Source organism: Homo sapiens, chromosome 20 (genome assembly GCF_000001405.40).
Source record: "Homo sapiens chromosome 20, GRCh38.p14 Primary Assembly".
NCBI classification, from domain to species: Eukaryota; Metazoa; Chordata; class Mammalia; order Primates; family Hominidae; genus Homo; species Homo sapiens.
Window position 1 is genome coordinate 4229320 of NC_000020.11, and position 25420 is coordinate 4254739.

A 25420-nucleotide genomic window follows, 5' to 3' on the forward strand; every position below is an offset into this window, starting at 1 on the left:
ATTTCACTGGGGAAGACAGGAAATAAACAGGATAAACAAGGAAAATGTAAAGGTATCAAAGAGTAAAGGTATACTAAGGAGAAAAAAATGAAGCAGGAAGGAAGATGGGGGCGAGTGTGCTTGTGATATGTGGCTAGGGGTGGTGGTATAAATTCTGGATAAGGTGGCCAGGAAAGTCCTGATGAGAATGTGACATTTGAGTAAAGAGCTGAATGAAGTGAGTGAATGAGGTGTGTGGAGATCTGGGGAGGAACATTCCAGCAGAGGAAACGGCAAGTGCAAAGGCCCTGAGGTGGCTCCGGTATGTTTGTAGAACGATGACGAGGTTGGTGTGGACAGAATGCAGTGATTGAGGGCAGAGAGGAAGGAGACGAGGTTGGAACTCAACCACCCACCCTCAATGCGCCCTCCCACCCTGTCTGAGACACCATCATCACTTGCCTTGATGAATCCAGCAGCCCCCTCACTGCTTGTGCCCCTGCCCCCTGAATCTTTTCTCACCCTGGCAGCTAGAAAGACTGAAAAGACTGGTCACGTCACTCCTCTGCTCAGAACCCTCCAACAGCTCCTCTGCCTCCTCCTAGCAAGAGCCTATGACCTACACAGCTCAACATGTCCCCCCAAATCTCTCCTCTCCTCTCCTTCCCTCGCCTACTCTGTTCCAGCCACATTGCCTTCCCTGTTGCTTTTTGGACATGCCAGATGCACACCCACCTTGGCCCTTTGCACTTTTTCCCCAGAATTTTCTTCCTCCAATATCCATGTGGCTCACACCCTCACCTTTGTGATGAGATCACACTGACTTCGTATTCACAATTGCAATATCCCCTAACCCTGTGCTCCCTGTCTGGCTCAGCTTGCTCTGTTATGCCTCATGGTACTTGTCACCTTCTGTCCTATTTGAGTCATGATGCATTTGTCTATCATCTATCTCCCTGCAATGAACATCCCTGGGGTGGGGCCAGGGTCTGTTTTGCTTGGTGCTGCATTCCCATTGCCAAGAAGACCTCACAGGCATATCAAGCACACAGCAGGTGCATAACACTTGCTGAGTTTGCTGAATGAATCCCTCCTCTGTATCCTACACATCCAACTGGTCACCACGTCCTGTGCGGTAGATGTCCTTTTTAGCAGGTCCCCTGCACTTCACTGTGTTTGTTAAGCCTTGGCTTGCTCTGTCATTTCATTTTGCTTAGGTGGCGGCAGCAGCCCCTGACAGCCCCTGGCCTCACAGCCCCTGGCCTCAACCCATATCCTCTCCACTCTGCACACAGCTGCTGGGAGACTTTTCCTTAAAACTTGGTTTCTCTCCTTTCCCTTCTGAAAACTGTCAGTGGCTTCCTGTGGCTCAGAGGAATCAATCGAAACATGGTGCTGCTCACAAGGAAACACAACGTTTCTAGGGCCAGTGCTGTCTTTGTCCTGCCTTCCTCCAAATTCAGCCACGTTAAGCCTCAAGCAGATCCTCCCACATAGCTGGGCTTCTTCTGCCTTTCTGCCAGGACTTGCTGCTCCCAGGAGCCTCCTCCCCCAGTCCCTGCAGCCCCAGGTCAGGTGTCTCCCCACCCAGCCTGGCTCAGCTGTCCTTTCCCGTGCAACTACAGGTTCATACAATTTGCTATTGCTCCATCTACTCTATGTGACTCTTGGTTTCTTGAAGGCAGGTATGGGACTCTTTCTTTCCTTCTTTGCTTTCTTTTCTCTTTCTCTTTCTTTCTTTTTCTTTCTTTCTTTCTTTCTTTCTTTCTCTCTCTCTCTCTCTCTTTTCTTTTCTTTTCTTTCTTTCTTTCTCTCTTTCTGTTTTTAGAGACTGGGTCTTGCTGTCACCCAGGTTGGAGTGCAGTGGTGCAATCATGGCTCACCGAACTCCTGGGCTCAAGTGAGCCTCTTGCCTCAGCCTCCCAATTAGTTGGGACTACAGGCATGTGCCACTACACCTGGCTAATTGTTATTATTATTATTATTATTATTATTATTTTTGTAAAGACAGGGTCTTGCTCTGTTTCCTAGGCTGGTCTTGAACCCCTGGCCTCAAATGATCCTCCTGCCTCAGCCTCCCAAAGTGCTGGGATTCCAGGAGTAAGATACCATGTCTGGCCTGAGAAATTTTCTAAAAGGCATGTTTTTGCACTGTCCAATATGTTTTTCTTTTTATCCCAGCCTCTAGCACAAGTGCCTGACTCGAACGAAGCAGGGACTCTGAAATATCTTGAATGAACAAGTAAATGGCACTTGAATAGGTGGCCTCTAATGTGCAGAGGAAGGAAAAGGGAGCTGACGCTTTCCGAGTGTTCAGTACCTTCTAGGCACCATGCTGGGCCTTTTATGTAGTTCTCGATGAATCCTCATGGCATCCCGCTTTGCAGAATGATTCTAGTTACCCAGAGAGCAAGTAGCCCTTAGGGTCAGGACATGCATCTGAGTTGGTCTAGTCCCAAAGCTCCTGGTCCTCTCCTGACATCACTTAAACAGAGAAACAGAACTCCCCTTGGGCTTCTAGGGGCGCTGGGTTCAGGAGGCACAGCCACTCCCTTTGTTCTTCCTGGCAGCTGCCCCACCAGCAGTGAGCCCATCCCACCTCTGGGTTTTCTTTTTCTTTTTTCTTTTTTTTGAGACAGAGTATCGCTCTCTTGCCCAGGCTGGAGTGCAATGGCGTGATCCTGGCTCACTGCAACCTCTGCCTCCCAGGTTCAAGCAATTCTCCTGCCTCAGCCTCCCAAGTAGCTGGGAATACAGGCGCCCACAACCACGCCTGGCTAATTTTCTGTATTTTTAGTAGAGACGGGGCTTCGCCATGTTGGCCAGGTTGGTCTTAAACTCCTGACCTCAGGTGATCCACCCGCCTCGGCTTCCTAAAATGCTGGGATTACAGGCATTCGCCACTGCGCCCGGCAGCCTCTGGGTTTTCACAAGGCTGGTCTGGCGAGGAGGCTAGTCCTCCTCCTCTCTCCATAGGGGGCATTTCCCCTGGAGCTCAGCCTCAACTCAGCCTAGAACCTTCTCCAAGGGTGTTCCTGTGATTGCCTGCTCCACTGGGGTTTGAGGGGTGATAGCGGCTTCTGGAGTGTGCGTGCTCGGAGCATGCTTCATTCTGCTTACACCAGGCCGTGTGGCATTTGCTGGCCTGTATGTCCTCAAGGGCGCCTTGCAGGGCATGCCACATCAGGTTCAGCTCCACGTCCATCCATCCAGACTGCTCAGAAGGGCTGGGGTGGGGCTTGCTAGCTGGAGAGAGTATCAGAATGACCCCAAACTCCTGGGAGAAACCCTAAAGAGCTGCTTGGCCATCTCTTTCAACTCCTTCAAGTCTTTGCTCACAAAGTCCCTTTCAGGCTTGAAGTCAGATGATGTTGGTGCCCTGCCCAGGGGTCCCCAGGTGCTGTGTTGGCAGTCAGAGGCTAGCTGTTGCCCCTTCTCTGGACAACTGCCCTCAGTCAATGGGAGCTGCTTCAACTGGGTCCATGACACCTGCTTCCCAAGGGGACAGCCTGCAGCCAATGACAGACTGATGTGGTGATAGAGAAGGCCGGCCCCCTTGCCTCAGCACAGTCCAGTTCTGCCTTTCTTGCCCCAGGGATCCCTGTGGGGTCGGGCTAAGGCCAAGCTTTGCCTCAACCACACCCTGGCTTTAGCTCTTCCCCTCTGGCTTCCCGCCCTCCCTCACAGGTGTCTCCTGAAATTCCTCTTTCAAAAAATTCCTAACTGGGCACAGTGATGCATGTCTGCCGTCCTAGCTACTTGGGAGGCTGAGGCGAGAGGACTGCTTAAGCCCAGGAGTTCAAACCCAGCCTGGGCAATTTAGGGAAACCCTGACTCTAAAAAATAAAATAAAATATTTATTTTTAAAAAAATCATCCAGGCTGGGTGTGGTGGCTCACGCATATAAATCCCAGCACTTTGGGAAGCCGAAGTAGGTGAATCTCTTGAGCCCAGGAGTTCCAGACTAGCCTGGGTAACATAGTAAAACTCCATCTCTATAAAAAATATAAAAATTAGCCAGGTGTGGTGGTGCACACCTGTAGCCCCAGCTACTTGGGAGACTGAGGTGGGAGGATCACTTGAACGTGGGAGGTTGAGGCTGCAATGAGCTATGATTGCATCACTGCACTCTAGTCTGGGCAACAGAGGTGGGTACATGCAGCCACTTGCATGGTGGCTGCATGTACCTGCCTTTTTTTTGAGACCCTGTCTCAACAAGAGAACAGATCACCTAGCACCATGAGATCTGTTAGAAAAAAAAATCCTTCAAGAAGAACCCCTATCTCAAACGCTGCTTCTAGGGAACCCGACCCAAGACATTCTTTGTCAGTGCAGTGTCACGTCTTCAAGTGCTTTTCGTGGTCCCCAAAACCTTGGGACCAGGGATTAGCCCTTAGTGGCCATCATCACTCTTCTGCCCCCTGCTGGGAAAGGTGGGGCCTGAGTGTGCACGTTTGTGTTCATTTCTCCCCATTCAACAGGAGGCTTGCAGTGGGGTGGGGGGGTGAGTGTGGCTGCATGAACCCACCTCTGAGGAGACCCAGTAAGGACGCAGGGAGGAGATGACCAAAAACAGAACTCCTGCCCGCTCCTCTCTGTTTCTTGTTCTTGTTCTCCCATGTGCTGAGTCGCCATCCAGCTGGCTGGGCTGCTCCAGCCTGCCTTCCCCATTCCCTGTATTGGGGTGCCCGTGTCAGGAGTCTAACCTAACGTTTGGGGGACTGGGCATCCTCTGGTCAGAAGAGGTGAGGCCTCTCCTGTGTCAGCAAGAAAAGCCACTCTCTGGCTTGTTGGCTGGGCCAGCCTGGCCCACATATTGTTGGGGAAACTGAAGCAGGGGGTTTGTTTACAGCCCAGATTATCATAAGCCAGTCCATTTTCCTAAGGAACAGGAATGGCCAGGCCTGCAGGAGCTGCTGGGACGCTGCTAAGGCAGGGAGGGACATGGCTGGAGCTGAGCAACTGACTGGCCAAGCCTTGCTGAGGACAGACGGCGCTGAAGTCAAGGGGCGGACTGTGTGATTAATAGCACTCTTTTGGCATCACCAGAAGGAACTTGTTCTTGGCAGATTGTCAGAATTCACAGCCAGCCTTGCTCATAACTTGTAGATGACCATGAAATATCAGGCTGCACCCCAGCCTCCCCCATCTTCCTACCCTGTCCTCCACTGGGACTTTTCTATCCATAGTAAGCCATTCCCCTGTCCACAGAGATACACAGGAGTAAAAATACCCCATCCTTCTAGATATTCAGTCTCCTCCCACCCTGCCAGCAGGGCTAGGAGAGAAGGAATTCCCAGCCCCAGACTCCCTTCCTCTCCCCCAGTTTGCTCAGCTGCTCACGCAACGGCCCTAACCTTGGAGCTCAGTAGCAGCCTTCCCCAGGAGAGGCTGGGACCTCTGCCCCTCACAGGCCTCTTCGCTACATTATAAAGGGTCAGCGAGCCTCTCTAATACAGTACACTTGAGCCAAGACCTGAAGACCCTGTGAGGGAGTGAGCCATGCATGTATTTGAGGAAAGAAAATTCCAGGCAGAGGGAAGAGCATGTGCAAAGGCCCTGAGGCAGCAGGGTACCTGACAAGTTGGAGAGACACCCGGGAAGTTAGGACCGCCAAAGTGGAGAAGGGGAGGAGGAGAGTGGTAAGAGATAAGGCCATTTTGAAGGGGACACAGTCATGGAAGCCTGTCAGGAAGAGGTGACCTGGATATGGTCCAGATCTCAAATGGATTGTGAAGACTCGAAGGGGTGAGTCGAGGGCACCGTGGGCCTGCTATACCAAGCCGAGCCTCTCACATTCCTTGCATCACCAATTTTCTGTGGTGAGAGGTAACTGACAGGGTCCTTTCACTTGAGATGCGCCGGGTGTAGGTCAGAAGTCCTTCTGTGCCCTCGTGTTTGCTTCAGGATCCTTGAACTACCTGGGGCTGGCCCCAGACTCCCTTCTGTAGCTGAGGGGCAGGTGAAGGGAGGGCAGCTCCTAGAGCAACGGAGGCTGCCTGGTGGAGCCCAAGTTCAGGGAGATGAGCCATAGGCCTGTCCCGCATCCTCTTGCATCCTCTAGGTCTCCACCAGGCCCCACCCATTTCTCTTTGACTCTTTTTTTCCCTCCTCTTCTCCCTTCTCTCTTCCCACATTCCCTCTTCCTCCCCCTTCTTTCTCCTCTTTGTTGTCACTTCTTAACTCACTTATTTCCTGATTTGTGGTCTTGGAATGGCCACACCCCAAGCTCTGAGTGACCACGGCTGCAGTTCTGCCCCACGGCCAGGCTGGCCCCTGATCCAAGCATGAGCCTCTCGGCTCTGGGGCCACACTGACAAATGGCTCCTGGGTGTGAGCAGAGCAGCACTAATACCCGGGGAGAGAAGGTTCCCAGGCAGTGACCATGCTGTCCGGGAGTCCCAGCACTGAGCCGCCTGGGCTTTGCCCACTGGCCTCCACACTGGCTTTCAGAGACTCAAGACCCTGTTCTCCTAGGTGACCACTTGCAAAGTGAGGGAAGTCCTACCCTCCAGCGTGCTCAGGGTGCACGGTGGGGCTGGGGGGTGCACGGCAGGCCTGGGCTCAGGCGGGGGCAGAGATGGGCTTAGGGACTCAGAGACTTCCTCAGGGACTCTGGGGGTCTGCCAGGGTCTGGGAGAGGATCAAGCCATGCAGGAAGGGGCCATGTCCCATGGCAGTCCTCAAGATCCCCTCTTGGCCGGTATCCAAGACATGGAAGTGAGCCTGGGGGATGTGTGTAGGGGCTGAGGGCTTCGGTGGGATGGAAAGCTGAAAACATGGCTTCCAACTATGGCCCTTAACCCTGGCCCCAGGCCGACCTCTGACCCAGGCAAGAAATAACATGGACTCTGGGACCAAAGTCGTTGGGTTCCAATGTCGGCTCTGACACTTATAAACTGGGGGGACTTTGGTCATATTACTCAACCTCTCTGGTGCCTCAGTTTTCTCCTCTGTAAATGGGGCTGCTAATAGCATCTACCTCATAGGACTGTTAGGGGGATAAAATGATTTGAACAGCACCTGGCACACAGGATATATGGGTTTGTGATTAATTAGTTAATTAAGGTGGGAGAGTGGGAATGGGAAAACAGAACAGACTGAGGGATGTTTGGGAGGTTGGAGTGTCTGAGTGGGGCATGAGGAGGAACTGAGACTGATGCTCAGGTTCCTGGCTTGGACTCCAGAGGACAGACAGAGATGCCACTTGCCAAGATGAAGAATTTGGGGGAAGTGGCAGGCTCGAGGGCAGAAGCAGAAAGGTGGGCCTAGGAGAGGACCGAGCCCCTGTGGCTGGGGCGTGGAAGTGTGGTAGATGGAATAATGCCCCCAAGATGTCCAGACCTGTGAATGTCACCTGCACAGGGGTCCTGAGATGGGCAGATTGCTCTGGAGAATCCAGGTGGGCACAAAGTAATGACAAGACTCCTCAGACAGGAAGGAGGGAGGCAGGAGGCTCAGAGCCAGAGAGGGAGACGTGGCAACAGAAGCGGCAGTCGGACCATTCTGCGGATAGATGGAGGCAGGGCCATGAGCCAAGACATCCAGTGGCCTCTAGAAGGTGGAAGGGGCCGGGGAGAGAATTCTCCCTGAGCCTCCAGAGGAAATGCGGCTTGCTGAGGCTTGGATGTTAGGACTTCTGGCCTTCAGAACTGGGAGGTAATATATTCTTTGAAGTCACTCAGTTTATGGTAATTTGTTATAGCAGGAACAGGAAATGAATACAGGCTGTCTGAGGGGCTGCTGGGACCTTAGCAGCTGGACTTGGGGCTGGAGCTGAAGAGGGTTTGTCTGGAAATGTGGATCTGAAGGGGAGAGGGGTCTCCGAGGAAGGCTGAGAAGGAGCAGCCAGAGGACCAGGAGGGAGATGGGAGAGAGATATTAAGGGTCATAAGAAGAAAGGGGAGAGGGACAAACTGACATATAGGAGTGAATGAAAGGACTTAAAATTTTGAGACCCCTAGCTAGATGTGGTCTCAGCTACTGGGGAGGCTGAGATGTGGGGAATTGCTTGAGCCCAGGAGTTGGAGGCTGCAGTGAGCTGTGATCACACGACTGCACCCCAGCCTGGGCAACAGAGTAAGACCCTGTCTCTTTCTTTAAAAACAATTAAAACAAAATTTTCACTCCATTATTCTGCTCTGAGAGACTCCATCTCTTGAAAAAAAAAAAAAAAGAAAGAAAAAGAGCCCTCTGAATGTGAGGATCTGGCAGCCTCCGGTGACAGTGCCAAGGCAGATCCAGGGAAGTGTGTGCCCTTAGCCCTGGGGCAGGTGTGAGAATGGCAGGAGCTACCCTGAGTAGGGCTGATGCATGTGGCAGGTGGGAAAAGGTGTCCTAATCAAGACTAATGTCAGGATTTTTTTTTTTTTTTTTTTGAGATGGAGTCTTGCTGTGTCACCCAGGTTGGAGTGCAATGGCTCCATCTCGGCTCACTGCACTGCAACCTCTGCCTCCCAGGTTCAAGCGATTCTCCTGCCTCAGCCTCCCAAATAGCTGGGACTACAGGCACATGCCACCATTCCTGGCTAATTTTTGTATTTATTTATTTATTTATTTATTTAGTAGAGACGGGGTTTCACCATGTTGGCTAGGCTGGTCTCGAAATCCTGACCCAAGCCACCGTGCCCAGCCTGAGAGGATATTCTTTTAAGAGTTAAGAGGGTCGGCTGGGTGCAGTGGCTCAAACCTGTAATCCCAGCACTTTGGGAGGCCGAGGCGGGCGGATCACTTGAGGTCAGGAGTTTGAGACCAGCCTGGCCAACATGGTGAAACCCCCCCCGTCTCTACTAAAAATAAAAAAAATTAGCCGGGCGTGGTGGTGGGTGCCTGTAGTCCCAGCTACTTGGGAGGCTGAGGTAGGAGAATCACTTGAACCTGGGAGGCAGAGGTTGCAGTGAGCGGAGATCATGCCACTGCACTCCAACCTGGGTGACAGAGCAAGACCCTGTCTCAAAAAATAAAAAACAAATAAAATAAAATAAAGCAGCTACTAATCTTTAAAAAAAAGAGTTAAGAGGGTAAGTAGCAAAGAATATGCTTACAAGTAGGTGAAAGGGAGGAAAAGACTACAGTGCTAAGTGGGGGAAGGCTGAGGACAAAAGGGTCCATGGGATTGAGGGAGAATCTTTAAGAAAGCTCTGGACATGTCGATGTGCTATATGTGTGGACAGAAGAGAGGTAGGAGACAAAGAGGGTTGAGGAGTAACTGAAAGAGTAAGGCTCCTTAGAAAGGAAAAAGGGTTGAGAGAGAGTCAGAGCTTACAGAGGATCTGCAGGACTTATGGGGAGACCCTGAGGGCTGCCTCGAGGCAGCAGCCTGACTATGGAAAGTGTGACTTTTCTACAGCAAGTGCTCAGCTAGACCCTGGTTTGCACTAGCTTGCTACAATTTCAGAAATGCTGTGAGCTCTCTTTGGAATATTTACACCATGAAAATAGGCAGATGCTATAAATCAGCCTCCATCCCAGAGCCAATTGTGTAACATTTACCAGGACATCATAGGGAGGAATGGTCTAATTCAGGATCTGGGGCTCACAGAAATAGGAGGAAGTGAGGGAATTAAAGACGGCAAGAGAGGATGAAGCAACAGATCATCCTCTGGGACTAGCTGACTAAGGAAGGGATGTGTAATCGACTGGGAGACAAGGTGAGGGCAGGGAGGTGAAGGCTTGGTCAAGGCTGGGGTTGATGAGCAGGTGTAATGGGAACCAAGCAGGGAGGACAGGAGCAGATGGACTCAGGAGGAAGAGCTTCACTGAGGATTCTGGGGGAGGGAGAGTAAAATGGGCACATGGACCAGGGCATAGGCCTTGGAGGAGGGGAGGAGGGGAAGGTCATTGTAGTCTCAAGGCCAGAGTGTCATCATGGGTCAGCCTCAGTACAGTGGAGTCACACTGATGACCAGGGTAGGGGTGGGAGTGAGGAAAAAACAGTGTGATTCTGATGCCCAGATCTTTAATGAATGGAGCAGGGTGATCAACAGTTCCTCAGATGTTTGGGACAAACATATCAGCAGGAGCTGGGCAGAGGACAAGATCTTCAGGGGAGGGGAAGGAGGAATATATGTCCAAGGACAGAAGTCCCCATCAGTGTTGTGTTTTTCTTCTACTGAAAATAAAATGTACTTCCTAGATCTGTCCATTGAATCAGTGACCAACTCAGTATCAATGAACAGCTCAGTCATCTTCCATTGAAACAGACTAGGGCTCTTTAGGGAAATGGCTAATTCCAGGTCTAGGGCAGAAAAAATGCAAGCTGAGCCTGAAGCATCTTATCAGATCAGAAAGCAAAGAAGAGCTCAAGATGCTCCAGGTTCTGCCAAAGATCTCAGAAGCCAACTGGAAGGAGTACCCACTGGCCAAGCCCAAAACAATGATGTCTGTGATGTGTTGGAACAGCAAGGATGTCTAAAAATAATGACATTACCATGGTACTCAAACAGCCTCAGTGGTCACGTCTGGAAAGAATGCTAGAGAACTGACTCTTCCTCTGATAAATAAAGAGGAATATTGAACATCTTCCCTGCCTTTGCTGTACAGATTCTATTTAACCAAACAGCTAGTGGTGAAATCATTTTAGAATGCTAGTGAATAAATGAAGGAGGTATGATAGGATTAGAATATCCCCACTTCAAGCCCCAGTGATATAATGGGTCCAGGCCATGGTCAATGGCTGCCAAAACCAGCAGGTGAAAGGCCGATGGGTCACTTTGTAATGGACAGAGCAGGCTGACAGCACATGAATTCTGGTCAATCTTGACACCACAGAAAAGAAGAATTCTTTCCAGGCCAAATCTGCACCCAGGAAGTACAGGGAACAGAGGGACACATTAAATGGCACTGTGGAGATGCAAACTCCAAACTACAGGATACACCTGGGGACAATCTGGTGTCTTCACTAAATAAATGGAAAGAAAAAAAAGCAGTGGAGGCTTACCGAGTAAAGAAACCTAATAGGCAAATCGACCATATGCAACGTGTGCTCCTTCTGTGGATTCTGCTTCAAACAAACCAACCAAAAATTTACGAGGCAGCCAGCAACATTTCAACACTAAGTAGATATTTGATGATATTAAATGATTTTATGTGTTATAATGGATTGTGGGCTTTTTTTTTTTTTTTTTACAGTTATTATCTTCTAGAACTATATATTGAAGGATTTACAGATGAAGGGATACTGTATCTGGATGTTCTTCAAAATAATCTACAGTGGCCGGGTGCAGTGGTTCATGCCTGTAATCCCAGCACTTTGGGAGGCCGAGGTGGGTGGATCACCTGAGGTCAGGAGTTTGATATCAGCCTGACCAACATGGTGAAACCCCGTCTCTACTAAAAATACAAAAATTAGCTGGGCATGGTGGTGCACACCTATAATCCCAGCTTCTTGGGAGGTTGAGGCACGAGAATCACTTGAACCCGGGAGGTGGAGGTTGCGGTAAGCTGAGATTGCGCCACTGCACTCCAGACTGGGAGACAGAGAGACTCCATCTCAAAAAACAAACAAACAAAAATCCAAAAGAATCTACAGTGATGGGACAGTGGGTGAGGATGGAAAGAATCTAGGTTAGCTTTGGGGTGAAGCTGGGTCACAGGTACACAGGGGTTCATTATACTAACAGGGTTCTCTCTATCAATGTATGTGTTTGAAACTTTCCATGTTAAAAACATGAAAAAAACCCAACCCTAGCTCATTGCTTATTCATAGTAATTACTCAATAAATATTAACTGTCCTGTTAAAGATTTTTTTTTTAGGCCACAAAAATGGGGACTCACCCCCAACCCACAACAAGTAAAGAGAGTTGACTTTAAATAGAGGGCTGTTATGCTAAGCGAAATAAGCCAGTCACAGAAGGAGAAATACTGCATGATTCCACTTACATGGGGGTCTCTAAAATACTCAAATGCGTAGACTCAAAGAGTGGGATGGTGGTTTCCAGGGAGAAAGGGCGCTAGGAAATTGGGAATTGCTAATCAATGGGCATAAAGTTTCAGTTTGGCAAGATAGATGAGTTCTAGGGGTCTGATGTGCAACAGTATCACATGATATGTATCCATAGTTAATGATATGTAGTTAATGATATGATATTTACACTTAAAAGTGTGTTAAGAGGGTAGAGCTCATGCTATATGCTCTTGCCACAATAAAAGAAAATTAAAATAATAAATAAATGGAGGGCTGTGCTTTGCCACCCAGACCCTTGGTGTGGCAGGATGGGAATAGAACATGGGTTCTACCGTTTCCTTCTTCTGCACACATTTACTGAGCACCTATTATGTTCCAGGTGCCACAAAGCACAGGTAGGAGATGTAATGCCAGCCCTTTCTTCAGGCTTTTGGGCCGGGAGACAATGATGCCATTACTGAAGACCTAGCACAAAGCATCCCTTGCCTCTCCCCTTCATCCACAGACCCCTGCACAACCTCAGGCAGCCTGTGGAGATGAGTCCTTTAGCACCTGGCCGACTCTCAGACATATGCATAATCCACTCTCCGCACGGGGCCACCAAAGTATGCCTTCCAGCCTGGACACCAATTACTAAGCAGGGCTCACAGCCTCCCCCCTGCCTCCTCCTGCCTTCTCTCTCACTGTAACAAAGGCATAACATGTAGACAGTCAAATTTAGAAAGCGTGTGTATCTGAAGCACACAGCACAGCCTGATGGCTCTGCATATGCATGCACCAATGTCATCACTACCCAGGTCAAGGTATGGAACTGTCCCAGCCCTTCAGAAAGTTTTCTAGCATTCTCTTCCAGTTAGTACACTCACTGCACACACACAGATGGGTAACCGCTATCCTGGATTTTATCACCATTGATAAGTTTCCCCTGTTTTTGAACTTCATCTACACAGAATCAAAAGGTGTGTACACCTTGAGTTTCAGACCTGGCTTATTTTGCGCAGTATAACATCCATGAAATTCATCCATGTGTGCATCAGTAGTTTGCTATTTTTCCTTGTACCGTGGTCCAGTCTATGGATACATGGTTTATTTATCCATTCTCCTGCAGATGGCATCTGGCCTCATCTCTTGACCCCTCTTCTCATAGGCTACACGTTTTACGTCTCCCAAACCACAGAGCAACCCAGCAATACTGCTACTCCTGTGCCTACGTGTGTGTAGTTCCCTTTGCCCTCACACTTCATGATGCATATCTGAATATTGACAGTTACAGTGCATCGTGATAAAAGTACATGCAGAGTGTTTCAGAAGCACATGGGACATCTAAGTCTGGGGGTGGTCAGCGACACAGGCACTATCACAGAGCACAGACTCACAAGATAGGAGAGAGGCTCAGGTGTGGCTCACAGATGGCTGGAGTGGGACATTGGCTGGGCTGTCCTGGGACTTCTGATATCAGAGCCTCTGCCCAGCTTGTATGCCTTGAGGTGCATTTGAGGGGGGCCCTGGGCTCTGAGTCTCCGGGCTGCTTTGAGTGGATGGCATTTGGAAGGTGGAGGTCAGTGATGCTCGGTGATCTGCCCAACAAGAGAGAGCTGGGATCGAAAGCCTGGGAGCTGTGAGTGGTCACTAGGAGTGACAGGGGTGGGGCTGTTGTGTGTGTGTGTGTGTTTGTGTGTGTATGTAGGTCTCGGCAGACAGTCCACCTCTGGGCGTGGCTGGGGGACACTTACCAGGCAGCCCAAACCCAAACGCAGTGAGATGCTGCCGCCATGAAAACACGCAGGAGGGACACGGGCCTCTGGAGGCTCCCGGGAGAGGAGGAAGCTTCTCTGCAGTTGGGTGCTTGCCTGGGGCAGGGTTTCCCCAGCCCCTCCGGTACCCCTCACACCCGCAGGGAGGATGATCTGCATTCTACACAATTGGCCTAGACCTCTAGGGTCAGGGGATTCTTGCACGAAGCTTCTCAGCGCAGAGGCTTCAGAGGCTTTTATCAGGGACTTTTCCAACCTACCCAACTGTCCCAACGACGCAGCCCCGCCGCAGCCACGCCCCCTCTCTCTGGGTCCTCTCTGGAAGTCCGCAGGCAGCAGGCTCTCACTGCGGCCCCTCCCACACTCACTCTACAAGTCTGGGCTCCTCGGGGCATCCGGCTGAAGGATCCCGATGAGGAGGGCAGATTTAGACAATTCCCTGTGATTTTCCGTGGCACCCAGCCCGCACCAGCTTGCTGCGGTGAGGGTAGGGGATTGTACCTGGCATGGGCGGGGCTGCCAAGAGCACTTCCTTCACAGGCCCCAGGGATTGGTGTCACTACGTTCTATCTCCAAAGTGGAGCATCTCTGACTGAAAGGGGAGCACTACTAGCTATCCCACCGGTCACAGGCAAGGAACGGGACTGTCCTGGGTCACTATGCACGGAGCAGGCAGCTCAACTGGGCATCACCACGGAACGTGGGCAGGAGGGTGCCCTCCCCTCTCTCTCGGTGAGGGGCGTTCTACACGCACCTCCGCACCTCTGGCACCAGCAGCTTCCTGGGGGTCCCAGAGGAGCTGGTGCTGCCCTCCCCAGCCTTGCTCCCTGAAATCGCAGCATCGGGGCACTTGCGGTCTAATGAGCTGGTTGACCCTCTGCCTGCCTTGGGGACATGCTCTGCAGTTGTTCCTCACAGGGAAAGCGGGGCAGCTGGAAGTGTAGGGGATGATCCCCAGCTACTCTCTGGGATTCTCTGGATTTTAGGTGCCCACATCTGTGTCCCAGTGTCTCCCAGCCAGTGACTTGGGTCCTTAGATGCCCCCACAGTTCAGGACAGCCCTCCTGTGGTGCTGCCCCTCTGGCCTGACCACAGCATTCCAGGTTTACAGGTGACAGCCCATGGCTCACAGTGCCAATGTTCCTCTGGAACTCCGGGCCCTTCCCTGAGACTCTTGATGCCCTCCAGGCCGCTGTGGCTGCTGCTACCACCTGGCTTTGTGTGCGGAAGTGTGAGTGAGGGCACCCCAGGTCTGCTGTGGCCCTACTGGGTGCCTTTACTTCCAGGGCCTATGTGGGCCCATTCCTTGCTGGCATATACATTGTTTCTCAATCTCTCCGTCTCTGGTGCTCGTCACAGCTAGTGTGGTGACCAGGACCTGGGAGGAGGCAGGTGCCACCTCAACAGCCATCCTGCTCCTCCTGGCTGCCTCTTTTTCTGCCTCCTTTGGGTCTTTCAACGTCAATGCTCCCCAAAGCTCTGTCCTGAGATCCTCTTTTCTCTCTCCTCCTCTTTCTGGGAGACTGCACTCCATGCTCCTGCAACCATCCCCATCTTTGATCCCTGCATCCAAGTTTCCAATGTTCTCTATCCCCTACCACACACCTGGTACCTCCACACCAACATATACCAGCCCCTGGGGGTCCACATTCCCCCCAAAAGTTGCTGCTCAGTGTTCCCTGTTCCTTCAAAGGTATCTCCCTCCTCCCAGGCCTGGGCCTCATGCTGGGGGTGTCAGGACCTCCTGGCCCCCTCTCCTTCCTGCACAGCCTCCAGACCCCTCCTGCTCCAAATGGGCTCTGCCCTCCCTCTCTGCTGCTTCTGCCCTCCAAGCCATACTGGGGCAGATCGGAATATTTTGTTTCCTTGTTTGGCCTCTGTCCTGTTTGCTCATCATTGCCAGATTCAACTCAATTCAGCTCCACCAGTGTCCCTGGGCTCTGCTCTGAGGCACTCGGAAAGGTGCCCTGAGAAGCCTGGTGCAGCACAGACCATTAGGAAGGAGGATTTAGGGCCTCCTCCACCCCCCAATTCCCTACACCACATGTGAGGCGCAGCAGAAATGTAAGGATTGAGAAAGAGCTGTGCGTGCCAGCAAGGAGCAAAGGTCATGGAAATTAAGGGATGACTTCCTGGAAGAGGGAGTCACGTGACGTGGACCTCAAAGAAAGCAGTGGCCTTTTGCAGTGTTGATTGGAACAAGGAAGAGTTAGAAAAACCTAACATTCAGCAGGATCAACGCACTGTGGAATACTCTCAAATGTACTGCTGTGAAAATGGCCCAGCATGGATAAATCTCAGCCACATAATGTTGGGTGAAATGGCAAATTGAAGAACGGTGATACGCATGGCAAGGTGCCATTCATATAAATCTCAAAGACAAACAAAACAGTATATTATTATGGATACAGATGTTTGTAGTAAGAGTATGAACATCTGTATAAGAGTGATATACTCCAGATTTATCTCTGGCGAGGCAGGGAGAGAAAGAGGAAGGGACAGGAGGAGGGGATCTAGTTATGGCTTGTTCTATTTATTTGAAAAGAGAGAGGAAGGGGTCTGAGGCAAATATGGCAAAATGTTAACATCTGTTCAGTATAGGTGATTACAGGCATGTGGGTGCTTGTTTTATTGTTTTCTCCTTATTTGTGCATTAAGCTAAAATTTTAAAGGAAGTTAAAAGGAAAAAAAAACAGGGAGCTGGCATTCTACACAGGTTGGGCGTTCCCTACAGGGGCCCAGTGTGAACCGAGGGGCAGGGGTTGAATGAGGGCACCCAGGAGCCCAGCACAGCTGGGCAAGGCTGGAGCAGGGGCTGGGGCGATGGGCCTGGGGGATGGGCTTGGATGTCTAAAGGGGCGGGCACCAACTTTCTCTTCCCTGCTTACTTGCCTGCTTCTCCTAGTGTGTTGCTTAGGGTCCGTTGCTTGCCCCATCCCTGCAACAACCTTTGGCTGGATGATTTTCAAGGGTTACTTATTCATTCCTTACCCTATATTGAGTATCCACTACAAAAGCTACAGTTCCACGATGGCCCTATAGATAGGCATGATTACCATCACCCCATCTCTATTTTATAGATAAAAAAGCCAGCAGAGAGGGGTTAAGGGATTTGCCCACGGTTACGCAGCTAGCGGGAGGGAGGCAGAGCTGGGATTGGCGCCAGAGCCTGTGATCCTCACTGCAGTGCTCTCTTTTGCTCCCCACATACCAGGCCCATGCTGAGTGCCGTGGACTCAGTGATGACCCAGGTGACACAGCCCTGCCCTCACACAGCTTCTGGGCCAGTCCCAGAAACAAAACAAGCAGCACACAGATGTAATTACAACCAATGATCTAGTGAAGGAAGCGAACCTTGTGCTTCAAGGGAGAAAACAAGGACACCACTGAGGGTCATGGGTCCAAGAAGGTCCCTCTGAAGAGGGAACATTTAAGCCAAGACCTAAAGGATAGAGTTGGCCAGGAGAGATTGGGAAGGACAGCGAAGTCGGAGAGAATAGCAAGTGCAAAGGCCTGAGGACAGGCAGGGGCTCCAGCAAGAAACCAGAAAGGGTCAGAGGGGAGGAGCCCAGAGCAGAGGGAAGCGGCAAGACCGTGACGGCAGAGAGGGGGAGGGCAGAGAGGGAGATGGCTCTCATTTGAGATCTCCATTGTAGGAAGGGGGACCACATGTCTGCATGGCCCCAGTTCCAGCCTGTGGTCCCAGTGTAAATATTCATAGTGTCCTATTTTGGTTCGGACAATAATATATTTGAAGGTCACCCTCTCATAGGTGATGATAGAGAGTTTGGATTTTGTTCTCAGGACAGTGGGAAAGCATTGAGGGCTTTTAATAGGAGAGTGACACATCTAATTTATAATATATAAAGTTCACTGTGGCTGCAGTGTGGAAAGGGCTTCCGGGGGCACAGGAAGGAGGCCATTGTCTCTTTCCTGACTCAGCCTGGCAGTGTGGAAGGGTCCAGGCCTGGGAGAGGCAGAGAAGGCCCGGCTTGGGCCTGCGGAGGTTGCAGCCATGGGTGGATCTGACCCCGGGCAAATTCATCCCCAGAGATGCTGTTCCCCCACTACTCCTTGCACTGGTCCAGCCTCCAGTCCCAGACCCAGGGCTTCCAAGACAGGCCTCAAGGGGTAGGAGGCGGCCTCTGAAGACAGCTGCCTACCTCCCAGGACTGCAGCACAGCTTGTGAAAGAAGCAGGAAAGTTCCTCGGAAGAGCTCAAGGACTCAGTAAGCTCAAGAAATAACGATTAACAATATGAACTTTCCATTTGATAATTTATCCCCATCCCTGTGCTTCTCATTGCCACTCAGCCTCCTTCCTTTCCAAGAGGGGATCTCAGAAATGAGAACTCGGGGCACTCAGAAACACCAGCTGGGGAGGGTCCCAAATGGGGCCAGCTTCCAAACTGAATGAGTGCTGGGGAAAAGCGGGTGGCTTCTGGCATCTGCTGATGTACCTGCTGACTGGCCAGGGCTTGCTACCCATGAATGAACACATGTAGGCCCACCCACTCTGTGCACCCACCTCCCGGGAGGGGGATCTGTAGGGGGACACATACACTGCCGACCACATATGGGCAGATGCCCGCCCAGATTTTCACAGACGTTTTATTTTTAGAGGGGCCAGCAGCATAAGCCCAAGGCTTGGAAAAGAAGAAGGGAAGGACAGAAAAGTTAGAAGCCTGTGAAACGAACCTGGCGAGGATGAAGAACCGTTCCTTGGCACTCCACAAAATGGTGCATGCACACCTGCCTCTTAGGAGACTCAGGACTTGCTAAGTCAACCTTCTAGGTTCAGGTGGGGGTCGCCCAAGTCTGGGTGCCAGGAGGGCACCGCCATAGGCTCAGGGAGAACAGGAGGGGCCGGTGGGAGAGGGGTCACTCACCGAGCGGCAGGACAAAGAAGAAAGGGAACCAGCAGAGCACGAAGACACCCACGACGATGGCCAGAGTCTTGGCCGCTTTCTTCTCACGGGAGAACTTGAGCAGGCGCACGGAGAGCGAGCTGCGGAAGGTGTGGCCCTTGGCGCTGCGCATGCCGTGCGCCCCGTCGGCGCCCGTGGCCGCGCCGCGACAGTGGATGCGCAGCACCACCTCGGAGGCCTTGCCTCGCTCGCGCTTGACGCCCGCCTCGAGGCTGCGCGTGGTGCTGCGCGCGACCACGTACACGCGGCAGTACATGACCACGATGACCGCCATGGGCAGGTAGAAGGAGCACACGGAGGAGAAGACAGCGTAGCCCGCCTCCTCGGTGATACCGCAGAAGCGCTCGTCAGGGGGCACGGGCTCCTTCCAGCCCAGCAGGGGCCCTACGGACACCACCAGGGCTACGACCCAGAGCAGGGCCAGGATGGCGGCCGCCTTGCGCTCGGTCATGATGGCTGGGTACTTGAGTGAGTGGCGCACGCCCACGTACCGGTCCACGGAGATGGTGCAGAGGCTGAGGATGGAGGCCGTGCAGCACAGCACGTCCACGGCGGCCCATACGTCGCAGAAGGCGCGGCCAAAGGCCCAGAAGCCCAGAACCTCCATGGTGGCCGAGAAGGGCAGTACGGTGGCGCTCAGCAGCAGGTCGGCCACGGCCAGGTTCACGATGAAATAGTTGGTGACGGTCTGCAGGTGGCGGTTGCAGGCCACTGAGAGGATGACAAGCAGGTTACCTGCCACGGCCATAAGGATGAAGGCTGCCAGGAAGACGCCCACGCCCACGCCCTGCGCGCTCACCACCAGTCCCCCGACGGCCGCCGTGCCATTCACGTCGCCGCCCGCGCCCGCGCTCCCCGGCTCCCCCGCGGAGCTCCGGTTGTCCTCGCCGCTGCCTGCGCCCACCACGCCGCCGCCGCCGCCCGCGCCCCCCGGCACGCCGCCCACCGCCGGGCCCTCCGAGGGGGCCGCGCCGCCCGCGCTGCCCCCGCCGCCGCCCGCGCTGGAGCCCCCTGCGCTGCTGTCCGGGCGGGGTCCCTCGAAACTGACGCTCAGGAGATCGCGGAAAGTCATCTCAACGCGCGGCCGTCGGTGGCCGGGCCGGGGCACAGAACGAGCGGCCGGCAGGGAGGGGAGCACAGGGCATAGCCGCGGGGCTCCAGATGCAGCTCCGCGCACGGGTCCCGTCGGGGTCCTGCCCAAGTTCCTGTGACGCGGAGCGCGGCTGTCCGAGAGCGGAGCTGCCTGGCCCGGGCGGCGGCCGGGCTCCCCGAGGCCGGCCGTGGAGTAGCACCGAAGAGCCGGGGCCCGCTACGCGCGCGGCGCTCTGAGCGTGCCCGGCAAGCGGGCAAAGCGGCGGCTCCGGGGCCGGGCGGTGCAGGCAGCGGCCACTGCGGCGCTCCCAACTCGGCGCGGGGGGCGGGACCGAGGAGGGGCAGCGCCAGGAAGGAGGAGGGGGCGACCCGGGCCGAGAGACGGGCGCCACACTCCAGGGTAGAAGGGACCCTTCGCTCAGGACAAGCGATTGTGTCGGGGTCCGGGGGGCTGCGGCGCTGGCGCGCGCTCGGGTCCCGCAGCAGCCACCCACGCCTCTCCGCAGGTGCCCAAGCCCGCGCTCTCCCCTAGCGGTGCCCTTTGCGTTCCTTCCCGCTCCTCTCCCGGACCCCCTCCCCCTTGGCCCTCAGCGGCGTCCCTCTTCCTCCCGCCCTCTCCCCCGAGTCTCTCGGTCACTCGCTGGTGCCCTTGGGCGCGCGGTGCGTTGAAGGCGTGAGTCCCGGGTCTTCGGGATCCCGGCTTTGGCCGCCAGAGAGCAGCAAGCGCCTGGGATCTGCGGACTGCGGACCGGACGGCGCAGTGCCGCTGCGGGTTGCCTCCTGGGACTGCCCGCATGGATCTGCCGCACCTCCTTTTTCTCACGCCACTGGCCAGGGCAGGGTTTCAGACGCCTCTGTCCAGTGCGATGGCGTGAAGAGAGCCCAGGAAGGGTCGGAAGCCTGTGCTGGGCAGAGGCTGGGTACGATGGGCTCAGGAGCAGCAGGCTGTGGCTACAGCCCTCGGACCCTGCCCAAGACACGCTGGTCTACATACGCCAACTTTCCCACTGTTACTTTTCCCTGTATCAGATGCGGGAATAAACCTTTCTATAGCTACCCTAAATAAGGGGCCTTGTTCTTGTTCTGGCCTTTTTAAGAGGGAGGGTTTAAGTGCCAGAGGGTGGGAAAGGGCACTTGGCAGGATGGTTAAGCGGGGCGGGTGTGAGACAGTCTGGCTCCGCATCTGAATCCAGGCTCCGCCCCATATTAACAGCGGAACCTCTTTGTGCCTCAGTTCCTCAACTGTCAAATGAGAATAAGAAGTGATGTCTACCTCCTGGCCTGAGGGTTAACTGAGTAAATATGAGTGAGGGCCCCAGAGCAGTGCCTGGGCATGTCAGCGGAGTAGGGCTTCTTCAGGGCAGGCTTTTAACAGGGAGGATGGAAGGCGAGGAGGTGTGGGGCTGGTATGGACCCCGGGTGCAGATGTGGGAGAGGGTGTGAGAAGCTTCTTGAGCAATAGCAGGACTGGGTAGGGAGAGGCACAAGGAAATCATACAGTTAGCCAACATAAAAATACCGGCTGCTGGCACGTGGCAGGCACCATGCTGGATACACTAACTGTAAGGAGGGTAATGCCGTCTCATAGTTGCAGAATGAGGAGGGCTTGAGCCCTACCAGGGAGATGAAGGCCTGTTTGCAGAAGTGTCTGGGAGGGGACGGAGAACCCATAGCCCTAGTGTTCACTGGTTATGGTTGACACAGGGGCAGGATGTCTGAGTTCTAGATGAGAAGCTGCTTTGGAGAAAAAGTAAAAAACTGCAGAAATGTTTAGAGATGGGTGGCCTCCCTCCTCCCCATTGCCCAGTCCAGGAAGATAAGGCTTTTATAATCATAGCTTGGAAACAGCTCTTCCAAGGCCTTCCCCATTAAATCTTCTTTTATTTTGGTTTTTGGAAACTTACTATAGTGAGTTGAAACGAAAGCAACGTGGCTTCTAGGGATTAGCTAGCAGCTGACCAAAAGTAAAATCTTGGGTTTGGGCTTCCTTTCTGAGAGGGGAGGGACAGTGGGAACTGAAAGGGGAGGCAAGGAGCTCCTCTCTGGAGGGTGTTAAATGGCAAGTCAGTGTCCATGGTTGGCTGCTATCACATAGTGTGGGATAGGGGCAACCCTGGTGGAATCCATTTGATTCTGGGATTGGCCAGTTTTCAAAGACTGGGAAGAGGAGACAAAGTTAAACCTAGGGCTGGGGCTGGGGTGCTGGGGGCTACTTGACTGGTGTCACATAGAGATCTGTGCCTGATTCTGGTGTGGAGAGCCAGCAGAAGGCTGGCTGGAGGTGTCCTTGCCAGCAGTGTAGGAAGACTTGTGGGATAGAATGCCTGGAAGAAGACGGGGAAGTCTTTCCCCATTTCAGGTCTTGGTGGTCGTCATAAGGTCTGCAAGATGATTCCAGAGGTTCTGAAGCTCTTGGGGAATGAATATGGAAGGACAGCGGTTGTGAGATCGTTGTGAGTTTCCTGTACCTGCTTATCAGAGGCTGAAATCCGGGAAGGGGTGGGGACAACGTGCTGGTGGCAGGGGCAACAAGAGAAAGAGCTATCTCTCTCTGAAGGGAGGTTTTAGCAGTGGAGGGCTGGGATAAAGCTCAATATCATCCCAAGCACACCATTCACACCCAGATCTTTGCTTGGATGCCTCATGAGGACCTCAAATTAAGCATGTTCCTAAGTTAAACTCACCATCTCTGACACTAAAATCTTCAACTTACTGTATTCACTTATGAAAATGGAACCAGCATCTATGCAATTGCTGCAGTTAGAAACCTAAACTCCTCTTTCTGTTTTACTCTCCGCCCCAAATCTAGCCAGTCCTAGAGTGGTGTTGATTGTGTTTGCCTACTTGACTTTGTGAACGCATCCCCTTCTCTCCAAGGTCTCTGCCTAAGGTCAGGCCCTGATCACGCCTCACTCTGATTTTCATTCGTACTCCAATAATGCCTCCTAGTCTGTTGCTATATGGGCCTTCCTAAATATGACCATTTTACTCTTTTAAAAATATTTCTTTGATAACTCACCAGTGCTTTTAAGTTCATAGCACACTTAGTCTTGTGGGACTGGACTCTTTCCTTTTTCTTACCTTTTTTTTTTTTTGTGGGGGAATGCGCAAAGTAAGTTGTTTGGAAGGTGACTTGCAGGAAGCATGATGAGGTGGTTGTTTCTTTAAAATGGATGCTGCTTTGAAACTGGGCCACATGGGACCCTGGGATTTATTTGGATTATAATGAATGAATGTGAGTCAGAGGCTTTTGTTCCCGAAATGATTCTTACATGAGATTTGTGTTCTAGCATCTCATACATGAATAGAATGCTGTCCAGAGGGACATCCTCTGGAAAAATGGCTAGAACTTTCCTATCTGAACTCAAGGTCCAGAAACTGAGACTCTCAGGCACATATCTACAGCATTTTGTTTGTTTGTCTATTTATTTATTTATTTATTTATTTAGTTTTTGTAGTGACAGGATCTTGTTATGTTGCCCAGGCTGGTCTCAAACTCCTGGGCTCAAGCGATCCTCCCACCTTGACCTCCCAAAGTGCTGGTATTACAGGCATGAGCCACCATGGTGCCCGGCCTCCAAAGCATTTTGGTGTGGAGCCTGTCCCCTCCAGTCATCCTTAAGGGCTTCCTGGAGGAAGCGAATTTCAGGGAGAGCTTAAATACCCTTTGGGTCAAGAGTTATCTTCCATCCTTCATCATTCCTTACTTTGGCTGGCCTGTGAAAGTGGGACCATCTTTCTCTAAAGAAATGTTGGGGCTGGGCACGGTGGCTCACGTCTGTAATCCCAGCACTTTGGGAGGCTGAGGTAGGCGGATCACGAGGTAAAGAGATCAAGACCATCTGGCCAACACGGTGAAACCCCATCTCTACTAAAAATACAAAAATTAGCTGGGCGTGGAGGCGTGTGCCTGTAGTCCCAGCTACTTGGCAGGCGGAGGCAGGAGAATTACTTGAACCCGGGAGGCAGAGGTTGCAGTGAGCTGAGATGGCGCCACTCCACTCCAGCCTGGCAACAGAGTGAGACTCTCTCAAAAAAAAAAAAAAAAAAAGAAACGTTGGAGGGCTTTCTGAAACTGCCATGTGTATGATCTGTCAATGTTCTCAGCTGAAGGATACTGTTGGGTTTATTCCTTTGGGTAAAATATTTGCCACAGGTGGTAGAGGAAGAATGGTTGGGCCTGGTGGTAGCATCAATTGTGATATTGTGATATGATGTGAACTCCTCTCCCTTACTCCATCAACTATCCTCTCAGCTGTCCCTATTAGAGTCAAGTCCCTAGCAGGCCGTATGTTTTCTAAATGCAGAGCCTTTCCTGGGGCAGCAGGGAAGTCATCAGCAGTTTTGGTAGGAACTCTTACCTAAGAGTCAAACATTGGTGTCCTGGCTCTGTGCTTCCTCCCTATATGGTCTTTGGCAAATATTTGGACCTAGTTGTCTCCTTTATAAAATGTGGCAAATGGGATTGAACTAGATCAGAGATCAAAGCAAGGTAATTCTTTAAGTGAAGTCTTCATAGAAACCCAATGTAGGCTGGAGATGGTAGCTCACATCTGTAATCTCAGCACTTCGGGAGGCCAAGGCAGGAGGATTTCTTGAGCCCAGGAGTTTAAGACCAGCCCAGGCAATATAGTGAGACCTTGTCCCTACCAGAAAAAAAGAAAAAGAAAAAAAAAAAAGCTGGCTGTGGTGGTGTGCAGCTGAAGTCCCAACTCCTCTGGAGGCTGAGGTGGGAGGATCGCTTGAGCTTGGGAGGTTGAGGCTGCAGTGAGCCGCGATGGCAGCACTGAACTCAGCCTGGGTGACAGAGCGAGACCCTGTCTCAAAAAAAAAAAAAAAAAAAAAAAAAAAAGAAGCCCAATATAAACAAGCAGATATTTGTGGAGAAACTTTGGTTGGATCATAGGCAAAGTCCTGAGACCCTCGAGGCCTCCCTCTCATGCTGCATCCCATTCCCTGAGGCATTCTCATGGCCTTGTGAGTCCAGGAGCCTTGTGGGCAAATTGCTGGCCCAGTGAGCCCTGGAGACCCTGTTGGTCTGGGGGTTCTTTGTGATTTGGCAGTATGGCGCCCAGTTTAGATGGAAGACTAAGCACCTGCATTTATCTCTTCTCCCTTATGAGACCTCTTTAGAGTGACAGCAAGGAAAAAGGAGCGGTTTGTCTTACAACTGAGAAGTTAACTCCTATGCTGACAAACCCTGGACTCTAGCCCCTAAAGAGGAGGCTTGATGGAACCCTGCAAGGGGTCATGAAGGCATTGAGGAGTTCTGGACCGCCTCCTTGCTTGTGAAGATGATACAGATTGATTGGCACTGTCAGAGTCAGGATGCCGAATGGGAGACAACGGTGGTGGGGAAGAAATTCATGACAGATGTATCCTGTTTGCGGGAACCAGCTGGTCAACCCCCAGTTTCCTCCCACCCCATCAAGCCTGGGCAGCCTTTATTCATTCATTCAACACAAGTTAACTAAGCACCAGCTATATGCCAAGGAACTATTCTGGGCACTGGGGAGATATATATACATATATATATATACTTTTTTTTTGTTTGTTTGAGAGAGATAGGGTCCCACTCTGTTTACCTAGGCTGGAGTGCAGTGGCATGATCACAGCTCACTCTGAACTCAACCTCCCAGGCTCAAGCCATCCTCTTGCCTCAGCCTCCTGAGTAGCTGGGACAACAGGCATGCGCCACCATGCTAGGATAATTAAAATTTTTTTTTTTTTTTTGTAGAGACAGGGCCTTGCTATGTTGCCCA

The 25420-nt window shown here is 52.2% G+C and overlaps 1 protein-coding gene across 1 annotated transcript in view, besides 2 other annotated features; it reads right to left on the reverse strand.

The window, feature by feature from the left end:
- The window catches only part of ADRA1D (adrenoceptor alpha 1D), a 28658-nt gene extending 8690 nt beyond the window's left edge, over window positions 1–19968 (reverse strand). Inside the window, exon 1 of the mRNA NM_000678.4 lies at window positions 18528–19968. Within this exon, the coding sequence (NP_000669.1) occupies window positions 18528–19638 (1111 nt within the window). The 5' untranslated portion in view covers window positions 19639–19968. The remainder of the gene's footprint in view (window positions 1–18527) is intronic.
- Window positions 2991–3491: an enhancer, noted in NCBI's record as "H3K4me1 hESC enhancer chr20:4212957-4213457 (GRCh37/hg19 assembly coordinates)". NCBI's record gives its function as "activates a minimal SCP1, AML or CMV promoter by ChIP-STARR-seq in naive H9 embryonic stem cells {active_cell/tissue: H9 hESC(naive)}" and the evidence as "EXISTENCE:reporter gene assay evidence [ECO:0000049][PMID:30033119]".
- Window positions 13043–13337: a silencer, noted in NCBI's record as "tiled region #5115; HepG2 Repressive non-DNase unmatched - State 10:DNaseD". NCBI's record gives its function as "represses a minimal TATA promoter and a strong SV40 promoter by Sharpr-MPRA in HepG2 cells {active_cell/tissue: HepG2}" and the evidence as "EXISTENCE:reporter gene assay evidence [ECO:0000049][PMID:27701403]".
- Window positions 19969–25420: the final 5452 nt, after the last annotated feature.